Genomic DNA, 14988 nt, shown 5'->3' with positions numbered 1-14988 from the left:
TAAAGTGCTACTTGAAGAGAGCAGTTAGTGGTTCTTCCTTTCAGTGCCAGATTGATGAGTATTTGCTGCTTTTTGGCAGAAAACTTTTAGCCTTTAATTACTAATGACCTGCCTCATTTTTCCTTTCCTTTTCTTAGTGAAGCTATTAAGTACCTCACAGAAGCTCTTCAGTCTATCAGTGAATTAGAGCTTGAAGATAAACTGGAAAAGATAATTAATGCAGTTGAGAAGCAACCCTGTAAGTAATATTTTCTGATAACTCCTAAATTGTTAATATAGTTCTGCATCTTCAGTTAGATGTATAGATTTAAATTGAAGTTGAGGCTTCACTATTAAGATGTCCCAGTGTTATAAGATGTATGCATGGTAGCATTTCTTCCCAAGGGGTAATACCTTTAGTTTATTTTAATTTTTTTTTCTTTCTTTTTTGGGATGGAGTCTCGCTCTGTTGCCCAGGCTGGAGTGCAATGGCGCTATCTTGGCTCACTGCAACCCCCACCTCCCGGGTTCAAGCAATTTTCTTGTCTCAGCCTCACGAGTAGGTGGGATTACAGGCACACACCTCCATGTCAGGCTAATTTTTTGTATTTTAGTAGAGATGGGGTTTCACTGTGTTGCTCAGCCTGGTCTCAAACTCCTGGGCTCACGCAGTCCACCTGCCTCGGCCTCCCAAAGTGCTAGGATTACAGGCGGGAGCCACCACACCCGGCCTTTTTTATTTTAACTGTTGATGACATCCAAACCCTTAGTTTAGTTGGAACCTCAGGATGATCCCCAAGGGCCCTTTTATAGTTCCTTTCCCCCAGTGGAGGTGTCACCACCATGTTTCCTGCACTTGGCTTCTGATTTTGATCTGGTCCTTTATGGTCACTTTGTCTCTCCTAGTGGCTATTACCATGTCTTATTTAAGTCATTAACTCCTAAATGTTTGGGAGGAAAAAAAGAAGAGTAAAGTAAACAGAGCTGACATCTCTTCTTGATTTCTTCAGGGATTTTTTTTTTTTAATAGAATGGCTAGTCATTTTAACTTAATTTTGTAAGTCTAAGTTAAAGGGCAGAGACAGTAACTTTTCAATAAAAAGCAATTCTACTAATGCACTGATAATGAATACACTAAACAGAGTTGGAAGGCATTTTACTGAAAGCAAACTGTAGAAAATAGACTTTTTTTTTTTTTTTTTTTTTTTTTTCCCTGAGAAGGAGTCTTGCACTGTCGCCCAGGCTGGAATGCAGTGGTGCTATTTCGGCTCACTGCATCCTCTGCCTCCTGGGTTCAAATGATTCTCCTGCCTCAGCCTCCCGAGTAGCTGGGATTACAGGTGTGCGCCACCATGCCTGGCTAATTTTTGTATTTTTAGTGGAGACGAGGTTTCACCATGTTGGCCAGGCTGGTCTCGAACCGCCAACTTCAGGTGATCGCCCACCTCGGCCTCCCAAAGTGCTGGGATTACAGGCGTGAGCCATTGTACCTGGTGAAAATAGACATTGATACAAAATTATATAACGCTTGTGATAAGAATAAGTGGGGCCAGGCATGGTGGCTAACACCTGTAATCCCAGCACTTTGGGAGGCCGAGGCTGGTGGGAACGCCTGAGTTCAGGAGTTCAAGGTCAGCCTGGACAACATGGCAAACCCTGTCTCTACTAAATATACAAAAATTAGCCAGGCATGGTGGCAGGCGCCTGTAATCCCAGCTCCTTGGGAGGCTGAGGCAGGAGAATCGCTTGAACCCGGGAGGCAGAGGTTGCAGTGAGCTGAGATTATGCCACTGCACTCCAGACTGGGTGACAGAGTGAGATTCCGTCTCAAAAAAAAAAAAAAAAAAGAATAAGTGGATTTCAAGAAAAGCACATTCTATAAAAGATGGTCATTTTTTTCTTGAGTATACCAAAGTTATGAAACATAAGGTGACCCAGGAAGGTAGAGGTTTGGGAACTCCTTCAAGGCATTTGCTTTCTACACACTGCTTCCCTCCTCTCCCTTTTTTTTTTTTTTTTTTGGTGAGAGCGGGACAGAGTCTCACTCTGTTGCCTAGGCTGGAGTGCAATGGCGCCATCTCGGTTCACTGCAATGGCGCCATCTCGGTTCACTGCAATGGCGCCATCTTGGTTCACTGCAGCCTCTGCCTCCCGGGTTCAAGCGATTCTTCTGTCCCAGCCTCCTGAGTAGCTGGGACTACAGGTGCGTGCCACCACACCAGGCTAATTTTTATATTTTTGGTAGAGACAGGGTTTCACCATATTGGTCAGGCTGGTGTTGAACTCCTGACCTCAGGTAATCCACCCACCTTGGCCTCCCAAAGTGCTGGGATTACGGGCGTGAGCCACCACACCTGGCCCCTCCTCTCTTTCTTCATGTTCTTTTTTGGAAAGTCACATCTGTTGAAACATGCCCAAAGAAGCTAGAATGGGGCCACCAATACATGAACTAAACCTCTGTTCCAGTTTTTTATGATTTGCAGTCCATTTCAGCCATATACTTCGGGGAGTTTTCTGAGACACCTCTCTATTCAACCTGTCAGTAAAACTGTATCAGCATGTTTCCTCTTGCCACTGCCACACTGCCATAGGGATTCAGGGACCTTTTTGTTAAATACTTAATACCACAAGCATGGGACTGGAAAGAAGAAATGCTCTTCCCCTTGGAAAAAAAGTCTGATATTTATAGCACCCTGAGGATAGAAGTGGGTATGGCTCACTGTCCACTTTATCTTAGCATAAAAGGCTGAGAAGTGCCGAGTTCACTCTTAATGTTATATAGATGCTAGTCACTTCAATTATATAGGAAGAAACATACTCCGTGATACAGGATAAATGGTTATTATATCTCATTTTCATTCCTAAAGGCAGAATTTTACATATACCTTTGCTTAAAAAATTCCTTTACAGTTGAACATTTAGAAACTGATACTTGTCTCACGCCTGTAATCGCAGCATTTTGGGAGGCTGAGGCGGGCGGATCACGAGGTCAGGAGATCGAGACCATCCTGGCTAACACAGTGAAACCCCGTCTCTACTAAAAATACAAAAAATTAGCTGACAGAGCGAGACTCCGTCTCAAAAAAAAAAAAAAGAAAATGATACTTGTCCCTGTGTACATTGATTTAAGATGGCACATGGTATTTTGCTTGACAACATATCAAAGTGATTAAAAGAGCCCCCACTGGAATCAGTCCTGGGTTTTTGTTGCTCTCTATCTCTTCTAGTTTTTGGGCAAAATTTTCAACCTCTTAAAGTTGTATTTTCCCTATCTATAAGATATGGGCATCTTAACATCAGTCTTACAGGACATCTACCCAGTGGAATAATACTTGTAAATAAAGTACTGAGGATGGTGCCACACATTTACTCAATGCTTAATAAGTGGTAGCTGCTATTGTTACTATCATGCTCATTGAAACTGAGCAGTTATGATGATAAAGTTATACTAATGTAACCTTATTAAAACTGGGAGCTTAGAGAATTTTTTTTTTTTTTGAGATAGTATCTCACTCTGTGTGGCCCAGGCTGGAGTGCCAGTGGCATGATCACAGCTCACTGCAGCCTCCACCTCCCTGGGCTCAGGTGATCCTCCCATCTTGGCCTCCTGAGTATCTGGGACTACAGGCATGTGCCACCACCCCCAGCTAAGTTTTATATTTTTTGTAGAGAAGGGGTTTCACCACGTTGTCTGGGCTGGTCTCAAACTCCTGGGCTCGAGCCATCCTCCTGCCTTGGCCTCCCAAAGTGTTAGGATTATAGGTGTGAGCCACCGACCCTAGCTCAGAAATGTTCTTATAACTAAACAGGGTTTAGAAAATTAAGGCATTTGACTGTATATTAAGGTATTGTAACTTTGAGTGTGGAAAATGAAGGTATTTGAGATAAGGCTTTTGTTATTGTTCTGACCTAACACTTTTTTTCTCCAAAAACTGTATAATGAGAATCTCAGTATTAATATTTGCAAATTATTTTTGGGAAAAGAGCTGTCTGTGGAAAGAACTATTTTTTTTTTTGTTTTTAAATTTTGACTTTGAAATTCTCTTTTCAGTGTCATCAAACATGATTGAACGATCTGTGGTGGAAGCAGCAGTCCAGGAATGCAGTCAGTCTGTTGATGAAACTATGTATGTGGGTACAGTTAACTTTTTTCCTCCTTGGAGGTGTTATTGAGCACTTATTTTTAATTATTGTCTTGGAAAATTATTAGTGATCAACGTTTCTACAGTGATTACTGTTGTTATTTCTGTGTGTCTTTTTAAATAATGGCTTTCTTTGCAAACCTCATTATTAAATGACTCATCTTTACTGGTTTTTCCTGGGATTTGAGGTTACAGTGTTGCTTGTACCATTCATTACTAACTTTTGCTGCCTACCCAACCGGTTGATCTGACTTTTTATTCTGTATGCTACAAATGAGTTGAATTGAAATGAATATTCAGAAGTATAATTTACTTTGCTCTTAGGAAAGTACCATGTCCAGAGAAGTTCAGCAACTTTACTTGGTCACATGGTGAATGGCAAATGAGGGTAGGACCTCAGTTTTGTGACTCCACTATGTCATGTTTTTAGGTTTAAGAATTTATATGGCAGTAATTCTTCTGGGTTTTATTTCTCTGAATATCCCTCTTTCCTCTTGATATGATACTTCTATACAAATTGATGGCATTTAACTGGAAGGAAAACACTGGGGAAAATGGGCTGAGAGACAGTTTTAACATTGCCACTTCTTTCCTATTTGGGGCAATGGAGATGATTGAAAGGAGTCATTATCTTTATTTTAGTCAGAAGTTATAATCTTCTCCCTGTCAGAACTTATAACTGCTAAAAAAAAAATAGAGAAATTGAGGATTTTTAATTTTACCCTTGCAAACTCATTTAAAATACTATAGTGTGACCAGATGCAGTGGCTTATGCCTGTAATCCCAGCACTTTGGGAGGCCAAGGTGGCTGGATCACTTGAGGTCAGGAGTTCAAGACCAGCCTGGCCAACATGGTGAAACCCATCTCTACTAAAAATACAAAAATTAGCTGGGCGGTAGTGGGGCGCACCTGTAATCCCAGCTACTTGGGAGGCTGAGACAGGAGAATTGCTTGAGCCTGCGAGGTGGTGGTTACAGTGAGCTGAGATCATACCACTGCACTCTAGTCTGGGCGACAGAGTGAGACTCTGTCTCAAAAAAAATACATAAAATAAATACTGGAGTATAATGAATGTTCCTAAAGCCATCAATAGAAATTCAAAATGATTGTACTGAAGTTTGATTATTATCCTAAAATAGACGTTACTCGTTGTTTACCCTAAAGTTACCTGTTATTTATTTATTTACTTATTTTCCCCCACACCAATCTGCATTCACTTTATTCTTCTGTTTATACATTCTCTTGCTCCCAGATTTGGAGGCAGAACGTAATATGAGCTCAACAGTCCTGCACAGAGCCATGTACCATATCGCATCAGTTTTCCTTTTCCCAACCCCTATTCCACCCCCACTCAGTAAAGCCCCTTGTCCAGGTGTTGCTCTTGGGGGTAAGAAAGCAGAAAAGCAGGCTGGGCGCAGTGGCTCATGCCCGTAATCCCAGCACTTTGGGAGGCCGAGGTGGGCAGATCACCTGAGGTCAGGAGTTCGAGACCAGCCTGGCCAACATACAGCAAAACCCCGTCTCTACTAAAAAATACAAAAATTAGCTGGGCATGGTGGTGCATGCCTGTAGTCCCAGCTATTTGGGAAGCTGAGGCAGGAGAATCGCTTGAACCCGGGAGGCGGAGGTTGCAGTGAGCCAAGATCGTGCCACTCTGCTCCAGCCTGGACAACAGAATGAGACTTGTCTCTCAAAAAAAAAAAAATAAAATAAATAAAATAAAATAAAGAAAGAATGGGTAGAGATTCCAGTGAGTGATGGGAGCCTCTTTCCAAGGCACAAGGCGCCACCTTCTCAATATGGCCACTGCTTTGTTCAGATTTGGGCAGTGTGCTGGCCAGGAGCTGGGGGCTGCAGTACCTCCAGCTGACTGAGGAGGCAAGCATTGTGAGGGTGCTGCTGCAGGTCCACAGTCATCATTGAGGCCAGGAGCTGCCACACTCCTGAAGAATGCGTGGGGCTTTGTGGGATGCTGAGTTGGTTCTGCACAGCAAGGGCCACACTGTCACGTTTCTTGAACACCATTTCGTAAGGGCCTTCCCCAAACATTGTGGCATATATCACACAGCCCAGGGACCAGACATCAGTCTGTTCATCAATGACACAGTGACTGCTCAGGGAAGAGCTCTAGGGCTCAGTAGGAGATGGTGCACTGCTGGGTCGCCTAGTCCGGCAGGGTCAGGGCCTGGTGGGAGCCCTTCATGTGAGGCATGCTTGATTCATGGCATCCAAGTGTATTAAAACTGGCTGCCCCTCGTCTCCAAGCAAGATAGTGGTGGGCTTCAGGTCCCTGTGGGCCTAACCCTTGGCATGAATGGCCTCAAGCCGCTGTAGATACCCAGCAGGAGCTGAAGGATTTGATCCTAAGTCAGGAAGTTGCCATCGTCCTTCGGCCTTTCTCTCCATTCCACAGTATATCTCTCTTAAAGAACGGAAGCAGCAGCTGGGCCTCATGCTTAGCACCCTACTCCCTCAGACAGTAAGCCGTGAGGTAAAGGATGTTGGGGTGATTGAAGAGGTGATGCATGTTTGCTTCTTGGCTGGGCCTCCTCCCAGTCCTGCTGCTCGTGACACAGGATTCGCTTCAGGGCGTAGAAGTGTCCATCCTGTAACCCCTCCACTAGGTCCACATGGCTGAACCCACTCTCCCCCAGGTTCTGGATGAAGAAATAGCTATTGTCAATGATGACATTTCCCTAAGAGCAGGCACACAGTGCATGGCCCATGATGTCTCAGTCATCCTCCTCAAGGACTGTCTGAGGCTGCCAAAGGGCTCGTCCAGGATGAGTGGGCTCTTCCAGGCAATGCACTAAGCGCCCAGGGATCATGATTCTCATCTAGAGTAAACAGGTCCTGGTGATGCCAGTTCAGCAAGGGTGGGGTCAGGTGCCTTAAAGCCTCAGGGCACATAGCAACGACCAGGATGCTTCCTCCAACCCCAGCCCACTTTTGGGCAGCTCCTGCTCCCACACCTGTCAGGCCTCAAAGGCAGGGCACAGGGTAGTTTCAGAGGAGGTGCATGGCTCAGGCCCATCCCTGGCCTCAGTGCGCAGTGCCTGGGTCGGCCAGCCCGTACTCCTCACTGACCTGGCTCGGCTATTTCTGTCAGGCTGTTTATATGTTATAGCCAGCCTACATGGAGGTCCAGTGGGGACTGAATGGTAAAGGATTTTTGTACCTTCAATTGTCAGAGAGTCATTATATCATACCACAGTAGAGGCTCTTGTTCTCATAGATGAAGAGATGGCATGAGAAGTTCAATAACTTACTCAGACTGATCTACCAGAAAATAGTGGAGCAGTGTCTGGAGTCTAGGTTTTCCTCAAGTTCAGTGATTCTCAGCCACTCTATACTTGTTACCTCTAGGGTAGCATGAATCTTTTTTGATCATTTTCAATTTGGGAGATAAACATGTAATTTTAGGAAAGATTTTTAGGTTGGGATATTTATACAGTAGTGCTGTGGAAATTTTTAACTTCTTTTAAACATGGTTATATTATTAAAAGTATCTGAAATTAAATAATTTTTTTTGGTTTTCCATCTCTAACACTATATATATATTGTATAAGTCTGAAAGATATGGCCAGAATTGGAGGGGGAGCTCTTTTTCCATTGTGTAACTTTTCCTGGGACACTTCTGCATAACATTTTAGATTTGGCAGGGCGCGGTGGCTCAGGCCTGTAATCCCAGCACTTTGGGAGGCCAAGGCAGGCAGCTCATGAGGTCAGGAGTTTGAGACCAGCCTGGCCAACACAGTGAAAACCCGTCTCTACTAAAAATACAAAAATTAGCTGGGCGTGGTGGAGGGTGCCTGTAATCCCAGCTACTTGGGAGGCTGAGGCAGGAGAATCACTTGAACCCAGGAGGCAGAGGTTGCAGTGAGCTGAGATCGTGCCACTGCACTCCAGCCTGGGCGACAGAACTAGACTCCATCTCAGACAAACAACAAACAAAAAACATTTTAGATTTTTAAAATTGTTGGGGTTGGGCATGGTGGCTCATGCCTGTAATCCCAGCAGTTTGGGAGGCTGAGGCAGGCGGATCACTTGAGGTCAGGAGTTTGAGACCAGCCTGGCCAATATGGCAAAACCCTGTCTCTACTAAAAATACAAAAATTAGCTGGGTGTGGTGGCACATGCCTGTAATCCCAGCTACTTGAGAGGCGGGAGAATCGCTTGAGGCCGGGAGGAAGAGGTTGCAGTGAGCCAAGATCACACCCCAGCCTGGGCATCAGAGTGAGACTGTCTCAAAAAACAAAACAAAAACAAAAAAAATAAAAAATTGTTGGAACTTAATCATATCCTTTAATAATACTGTAGCTCATGGCCGGGCGCAGTGGCTCATGCCTGTAATCCCTGCACTTTGGGAGGCTGAGGTGGGTGGATCACCTGAGGTTGGGAGTTAGTGACCAGCCTGACCAACATAAAGAAACCCCGTCTTTGTTAAAAATACAAAATTAGCTGGGCGTGGTGGTGCATGCCTGTAATCCCACCTACTCGGGAGGCTGAGGCAGGAGAATCTCTTGAACCCTGGAGGCGGAGGTTGTGGTGAGCCACGATCGAGCCATTGCACTCCAGCCTGGGCAACAAGAGTGAAACTCTGTCTCAAAAAAAAAAAAATACTGTAGCTCATAAGAGTAGTACATATAGGGAGAGATTTCTTTAAGATGTGACTATTGTTTATATAATTCTTCTTTTTCAACAGATGAAATTCTTAACTGGAAATTAACTTGATTAATTTTTTTCTTGAGAGTTTTGGCAATGCTTTCTTGTCCCTTGAGATGAAAATGCACAAGCTAAACATTTTACACCCATTGTATTTTTGACACTATAAGAAATTATGGGCTGGGCATGGTGGCTCACATCTGTAATCCCAGTACTTTGGGAGGCCGAGGTGAGTGGATTTCCTGAGGTCGGGAGTTTGAGATCAGCCTGACCAACACGGAGAAACCCCATCTCTACTAAAAATACAAAATTAACTGGACGTGGTGGTGCATGCCTGTGATCCCAGCTACTTGGGAGGCTGAGGCAGGAGAATCGCTTGAACCCAGGAGGCGGAGCTTGCAGTGAGCTGATATCCCACCATTGCACTCTAGCCTGGAGAACAATAGCGAAACTCTGTCTTAAAAAAGAAAAAGAAAAAGAAAAAGAAATTGTGTGCCTGGCCTGAGAAAATGTGAAAAGTGTGTTATTACAAATACTTATAATGCAAGTTATCATGTTCACCTAGAGTACTTATGTTTTAGTAAATCAGGTCTGTATTTTGTGGGATGTTTTTCAGAGAGCACGTTTTCAATATCATAGGAGCATTTGATATTCCACGCTTTGTGTACAATTCAGAAAGAAAAAAATTTCTTCCGTAAGTATGTCATCCACTGATTTTAAATTAATTTCAAATGTACTTTTTTTTTCAGAAGGTATAGTCTCTTGCTTCACTTTTGGCTCACCTTTGTGTATTATGATAGTCAAAAATAGGCATTCTCTTTTTCTAGTCTGTTAATGACCAACCACCCTGCACCAAATTTATTTGGAACACCAAGAGATAAAGCAGAGATGTTTCGTGAGCGATATACCATTTTGCACCAGGTAAGTTTGGTAGGGGGCGGAGGGGAGGATACTGGGTAAAATGAGAGAAAAGGAGACTGTTTCAGTTTAGGGAAATCTCAGGGATATTTAAAGAATGGAATTTTGTGGTCCAAAGTTGGTCATTCAATAAACTGTTATTAAGATTTCTGTGATTGAGACTGTGTAGAAGATACAGAGATGAAAAAGCTATTTTCCCCTTAACAACAATGATGATGGTAAAAATAGTAGTTACTATTTAATACATGATATGCCAGGTAGCACTTAACATACATTATTTACCTCATTTAATCCTCATAATACTAATAATGTGTAAATGCTATTATTCCCATTTTACGGATCAGGAAACTGAGGCTTAAAGAAGTTTAGTAATTTGCCCATAGATCGTATATAGTAAGACAGGATTTTAATCCAGCCTGACTCTAAAGCCCAACCATTGCCTACTATACTTTACCACTTTCAAGTAGCTTACAGTCTATGAAGTTATAGACATTTGTGCAATACATAAAGTAGAATTTTATATGTGCTATAAAAGAGATACAAACAATGTATTCAATAGAAAAATCAGGAAAGGCTTCAAGGAAATGATGGCATTTGGCATGGACCTAGATTGCCTTAATCTTGTGGAAATGGGGAAAAGGTGGTGATTGTGAAGAAAGGTACAGCAAAAAATGGACTCTGAGCAGGAAATGATGAGAAAATCAGGAGTAGTGTGGGATCAGTTTGGAAAGGCAAGTGGGAGCCAAATTGTAGGAGCACTTTGGATGCCACCCTTGGGAGTTGGGACTGTTCTCCTTGTGTGAGGTGCTTTGGAATACCAGAGAAACTCGGTCGCAGCCAGGTTTTTTGAGTGCTTCCTCCACCAGCAGATATGGGGATGACTTGGAGTGTGAGAGAAGTCTTCTAGGAGTCTGTGGTATTAGTCTTGGCATAAATGATAGCCTGGATGAAGGAAGTGGCAAGGGGTGTAGAATGAGGGCATCACACTCAAGCAGCAGAAACTATAACACATGGTGACTGTCTGGATGTGAAGGAGAAGGGAGGGGGTGAAGAATCAGAGATGAGTAAGGCCTAGAGTCTGAGAGAGTAGAATATAGAAAAATACATTAAACAGGAAAAAGAGAATGTTGTAGAAGGTGATAGCAGGTTCTGTTTTAAGCATTTGAGTTAAGATTGCCAGGAGAGTATCAAGTGAAGTGTACATCTGGAGCTATGGAAAGAGAGTTGGTAGCAAGAGAGAGATTTGGGAGCATCTGCATAGAGTAAAAAATGGAACTGCAAGGATGAGACCTTGGGAGAAAGAGAAGTGATAAAAAGACAAGAGGGAGGCTAGGCGCAGTGGCTCACGCCTGTAATCCCAGCACTTTGGGAGGCCGAGGTGGGTGGATCACCTGAGGTCGGGATTTCGAGACCAGCCTGACCAACATGGAGAAACCCTGTCTCTAGTAAAAATACAAAAGTAGTCAGGCATGGTGGCACATGCTCGTAATCCCAGCTACTTGGGAGGCTGAGGCAGGAGAATCGCTTGAACCTGGGAGGCGGAGGTTATGGTGAGCCAAGATGGCGCCATTGCACTCCAGCCTGGGCAACAAGAGCGAAACTCCGTCTCAAAAAAAAAAAAAAAGAGGGGAGAGGATAGAACTTGGGGGCCAGGTGAGGATGGTGTTATATGGCAGAAGCACAAGAAGGCTTCAAGGAGGAGCAGATGGTCAGCGGTAGGTTAAATAAAGGTTGAAAAGAATGATCTTGAGGAACCAGCATCCTCTGCTGCTTCCATTGCCGACATAGTGTTGCTAGGTTAATCTGCCCAAAGTATAGCTCTGACCACCTCGTGGGTTTTGTACAGAAGTCTTTCAAGGAAATTCACTGCCTATTGAATTAAATGCAGATTATCCTTAATATGTAAGATCTTCTCTCACACATAATTGGCCTAATCTCTGCTTTTCCTGTAGTCATAATCTGGGCTGGAGCCAAAACTGAAATATGGAATTATTGTTTCTGTTTCTTTCACTACTTCTGTGACTTTGTTTATCCTGTTGACTGCTCTTCCCTCTTATCTCCACTGTTGAAACCGTCCTATTTTGGAAGGCTTTTCTCAGATTCCTCCTTTCTGGAGCCTGTCTTGATCTTCAGTTGGATGCAGTCTTTTTCTTTTTTATTTATTTTATTTTTGATATAGAGTCTTGCTCTGTCGCCTAGGCTAGAGTGCAGTGGTGCAAACTTGGCTCACTGTAACCTCTGCCTCCTGGGTTCAAGTGATTCTTCTTCCTCAGACTCCCAAGTAGCTGGGATTATAGGCACATACCACCACACCCAGTTAACTTTTTTATTTTAGTAGAGACGGGGTTTCACCATGTTGGCCAGGCTGGTCTCGAACTCCTGACCTCAAGTGATCTGCCCACCTCAGCCTCCCAAAGTGCTGGGATTACAGGCATGAGCCACCATGCCCAGCTGAATCTCTTTCTGCTTGAACCCAGTAGTACGTCTTTTTTTTTTTTTTTTTTTTTCTGAGGCAGAGTCTTACTCTGTTGCCCAGGCTTGAGTGCAGTGGCGCAATCCCGGCTCACTGCAACTTCCGCCTCCTGGGTTCAAGCGATTCTCCTGCCTCAGCCTCCCGAGTAGCTGGGACTATAGGCATGTGCCAAAGCGCCTGGCTAATTTTTTGTATTTTTAGTAGAGATGGGTTTCACTGTGTTAGCCAGAATGGTCTCCATCTCCTGACCTCGTGATCCACCCGCCTCGGCCTCCCAAAGTGTTAGGATCACAAGCGTGAGCCACTGTGCCCAACTCAGTAGTACGTCTTTTATGTCACTGACTGGACTTGGCCCTGCCTTGCATTTGAGGTGCTTATCCCTGTGATCAGACTGTGGATTCGTTGTTTATCTCCTGTGCCACATTTGGCACTGTCCTTTATACAGAGAAGGTGCTCAGTAAACACCACATTTCTTTTTTCTTAAGTATGTTTTGAAGTCTACTCTGTTATGGTGGGTGTGCCACTTATCCCTTCTGAGCCTCGTTTATTCATCTGTGAAATAAACAGGTTGAAGTTCAGTCCATCCATATTTTCATTGCAATTATCTTCCAGAAAATGAATCTGATGTTATCATTATCCTACTTCAAAATCTTTGTTTCTCATTGTCTATAGGACAAACTTCTTGGCTGGGCATACGAAGTTTGTATTGTCAGGGCTTTTTGAGCTGGAGGTTACAGAAACTCAAATAGATTAAAACTGAAAAAGGAATATATTGGCTTAGCTTGTATTATGAAGTCTAGAAGTCCACCAGTTTCAAGCCTGGCTGGATTCAGGTGCTCACACAATATCAGGAGGCATCTGTCTCTTTCCATGTCCCACCTCTTTTAAAAAATTGATTTTACTTTCAAATAGGTTCTCCCTATAAAGTGACAAAGATCTCCACTAGTAGCCTTAGCAACTCTTGGAAAGAGAGTTCCTCTTTTCTAATAGCTCTAGCAAAAGTCTTGAATCTGTCTCTTTTGAGCCTACCTTGAAGCACTTGCTCATCCTTGAACCAATCACTGGCCAAAGGATGGAGTACTTTCATTTTCTAGACCTTGAATTCCTATCTATAGAAGGGGGAAGGGGTATCAATCCTACCTAAACTATATGGACTGAGAGTTGGGGAGGGAAGTATCTCCACATGGATCTTATTAATCTCTGGCCTTGTCTCATGTTCTACCTTGTGCACCGCATAATTCAACTGTATTAAACTTTGCATAGCTTCCTAAATACTCTAACTCTTATAATTTCTCTGCCTGAAATGTCTTTTTTTTTTTTTTTTTTTTTTTTTTTGGAGACACAGTTTCGCTCTTGTTGCCCAGGCTGGAGTGCAGTGGCACGATCTCAGCTCACTGCAACCTCTGCCTCCTGGATTCAAGCAATTCTCCTGCCTCAGCCTCCTGAGTAGCTGGGATTACAGGCACCTGCCACCACACCCAGCTAATTTTTGTATTTTTGGTAGAGACGTGGTTTCACTATGTTGGCCAGGCTGGTCTCGAACTCCTGACCTCAGGTGATCCGCCCTCCTCGACCTCCCAAAGTGCTGGGATTACAGGTGTGAGCCACCGCGCCTGGCCCTGAAATGTCTTATCTCAGACTCCTTTTGTTTCTTACTACCCAAATCTTATTTATCATCTGGGCTGTTGTTCAGTGGCCCCTTTGGCCTGGGGTACAGTCAGCCCTCACAGAACTTTGTTGTGTGGTGGCACTTCTCTTTCACTAGCCCCAATGCTCTCAGGGTGACACTTGGTTGTTCTTCATATCCTCAGCCTACAATGTGCTGCTGCCATACACACAATAGACCTTTAAAATTTTTACATTTTTTTTGTCTTAAATTTTAAAACTTACATTACTAGATATTTGTATGTTAAATTATGTGGGTTTTCAAATTTGTGGAGAATAAGTAATAGTGACATTAGTTTAAGGACAGTGTTTCATCAGGGCACTATTTTAATGAATCTTATATTTAAATGTCTGTTTCAGGAATTCATGTGAATCTTTCTTTTTTATAGAGGACCCACAGGCATGAATTATTTACTCCTCCGGTGATAGGTTCTCACCCTGATGAAAGCGGAAGCAAATTCCAGGTTAGAACATTATCCTAGTTATGTAGGGGGTATAAGTGTGTAAGTTTAATATTTGTTGCTTAATTCTAATTCATTGAATTTTAAATGAAAATAAACTATTGGTAACTGTTTAGCTAACTGGATGGGCTGCATGCCCACTTTTGATACAGTCCATTCCTAGAGTCCTGTGTCCCACAAATCTCTAACAGAAGCTACTGCTTCCTTTGAGAAGGCCCTGATACGATGCTAGCCCCAGATACACTCTGGCCTCCAAGGTAGATTCCTAGCTCATTTGGATACTACACTGGCTTTCTGATAACTTTTCAACATTTCTTTTCTTGCCCTCACTCATCCCTTAGTGACCATAACACTAAGGAACTCAAATGCTGGTTCCTTGCCCAACTCATCCCTCAGTGACCACCACACACAGTTATTGAACTAGAATGTGTTATATTGGTTGAAGTGAAAACTTAAGGTACTAAGGAAACAACATTTATAGAATGAATAAGAGAACACAAATGGGTCCCACAACCTGGCCAACATAGTAAGACCTCATCTTTATAAACAATAAAAAACATTAGCCAGGCGTGATGTTGTGCACCTGTGGTCCCAGCTACTGGAGAGGCTGAGGTGGGAGGATTACTTGAGCTTGGGAGGTTGAGGCTGCAGTGAGCTGAGATCATGCCACTGTACTCCAGCCTG

General features: G+C 43.4%; 1 protein-coding gene and 1 pseudogene across 9 annotated transcripts in view; one reads left to right on the top strand and one right to left on the bottom strand.

The window, feature by feature from the left end:
* POLE2 (DNA polymerase epsilon 2, accessory subunit) overlaps positions 1-14988 on the top strand; it is a 44660-nt gene that overhangs the window by 4384 nt on the left and 25288 nt on the right. For 6 of the 9 annotated variants that reach the window (XR_007064015.1, NM_001348384.2, NM_002692.4 and 3 more), the window contains exons 2-6: positions 138-238; positions 4031-4106; positions 9404-9481; positions 9615-9708; positions 14233-14307. Coding sequence is in view for 7 of the 9 variants with exons in the window: in NM_001348384.2 (NP_001335313.1) it covers positions 138-238; positions 4031-4106; positions 9404-9481; positions 9615-9708; positions 14233-14307 (424 nt within the window). In the remaining 2 variants the exon portion in view is untranslated. Of the gene's footprint in view, positions 1-137; positions 239-4030; positions 4111-9403; positions 9482-9614; positions 9709-14232; positions 14308-14988 lie in introns of all 9 variants that reach the window. The other 3 variants (XR_007064016.1, NM_001197330.2, NM_001348385.2) reach the window with 2 other exon arrangements.
* STK16P1 (serine/threonine kinase 16 pseudogene 1) lies at positions 5322-7218 on the bottom strand (annotated as a pseudogene).

Source organism: Homo sapiens, chromosome 14 (assembly GCF_000001405.40).
Source record: "Homo sapiens chromosome 14, GRCh38.p14 Primary Assembly".
NCBI classification, from domain to species: domain Eukaryota; kingdom Metazoa; phylum Chordata; class Mammalia; order Primates; family Hominidae; genus Homo; species Homo sapiens.
The sequence above is the reverse complement of the archived record's forward strand: the minus strand, read 5'-3'. Positions and strand labels throughout refer to the sequence as shown.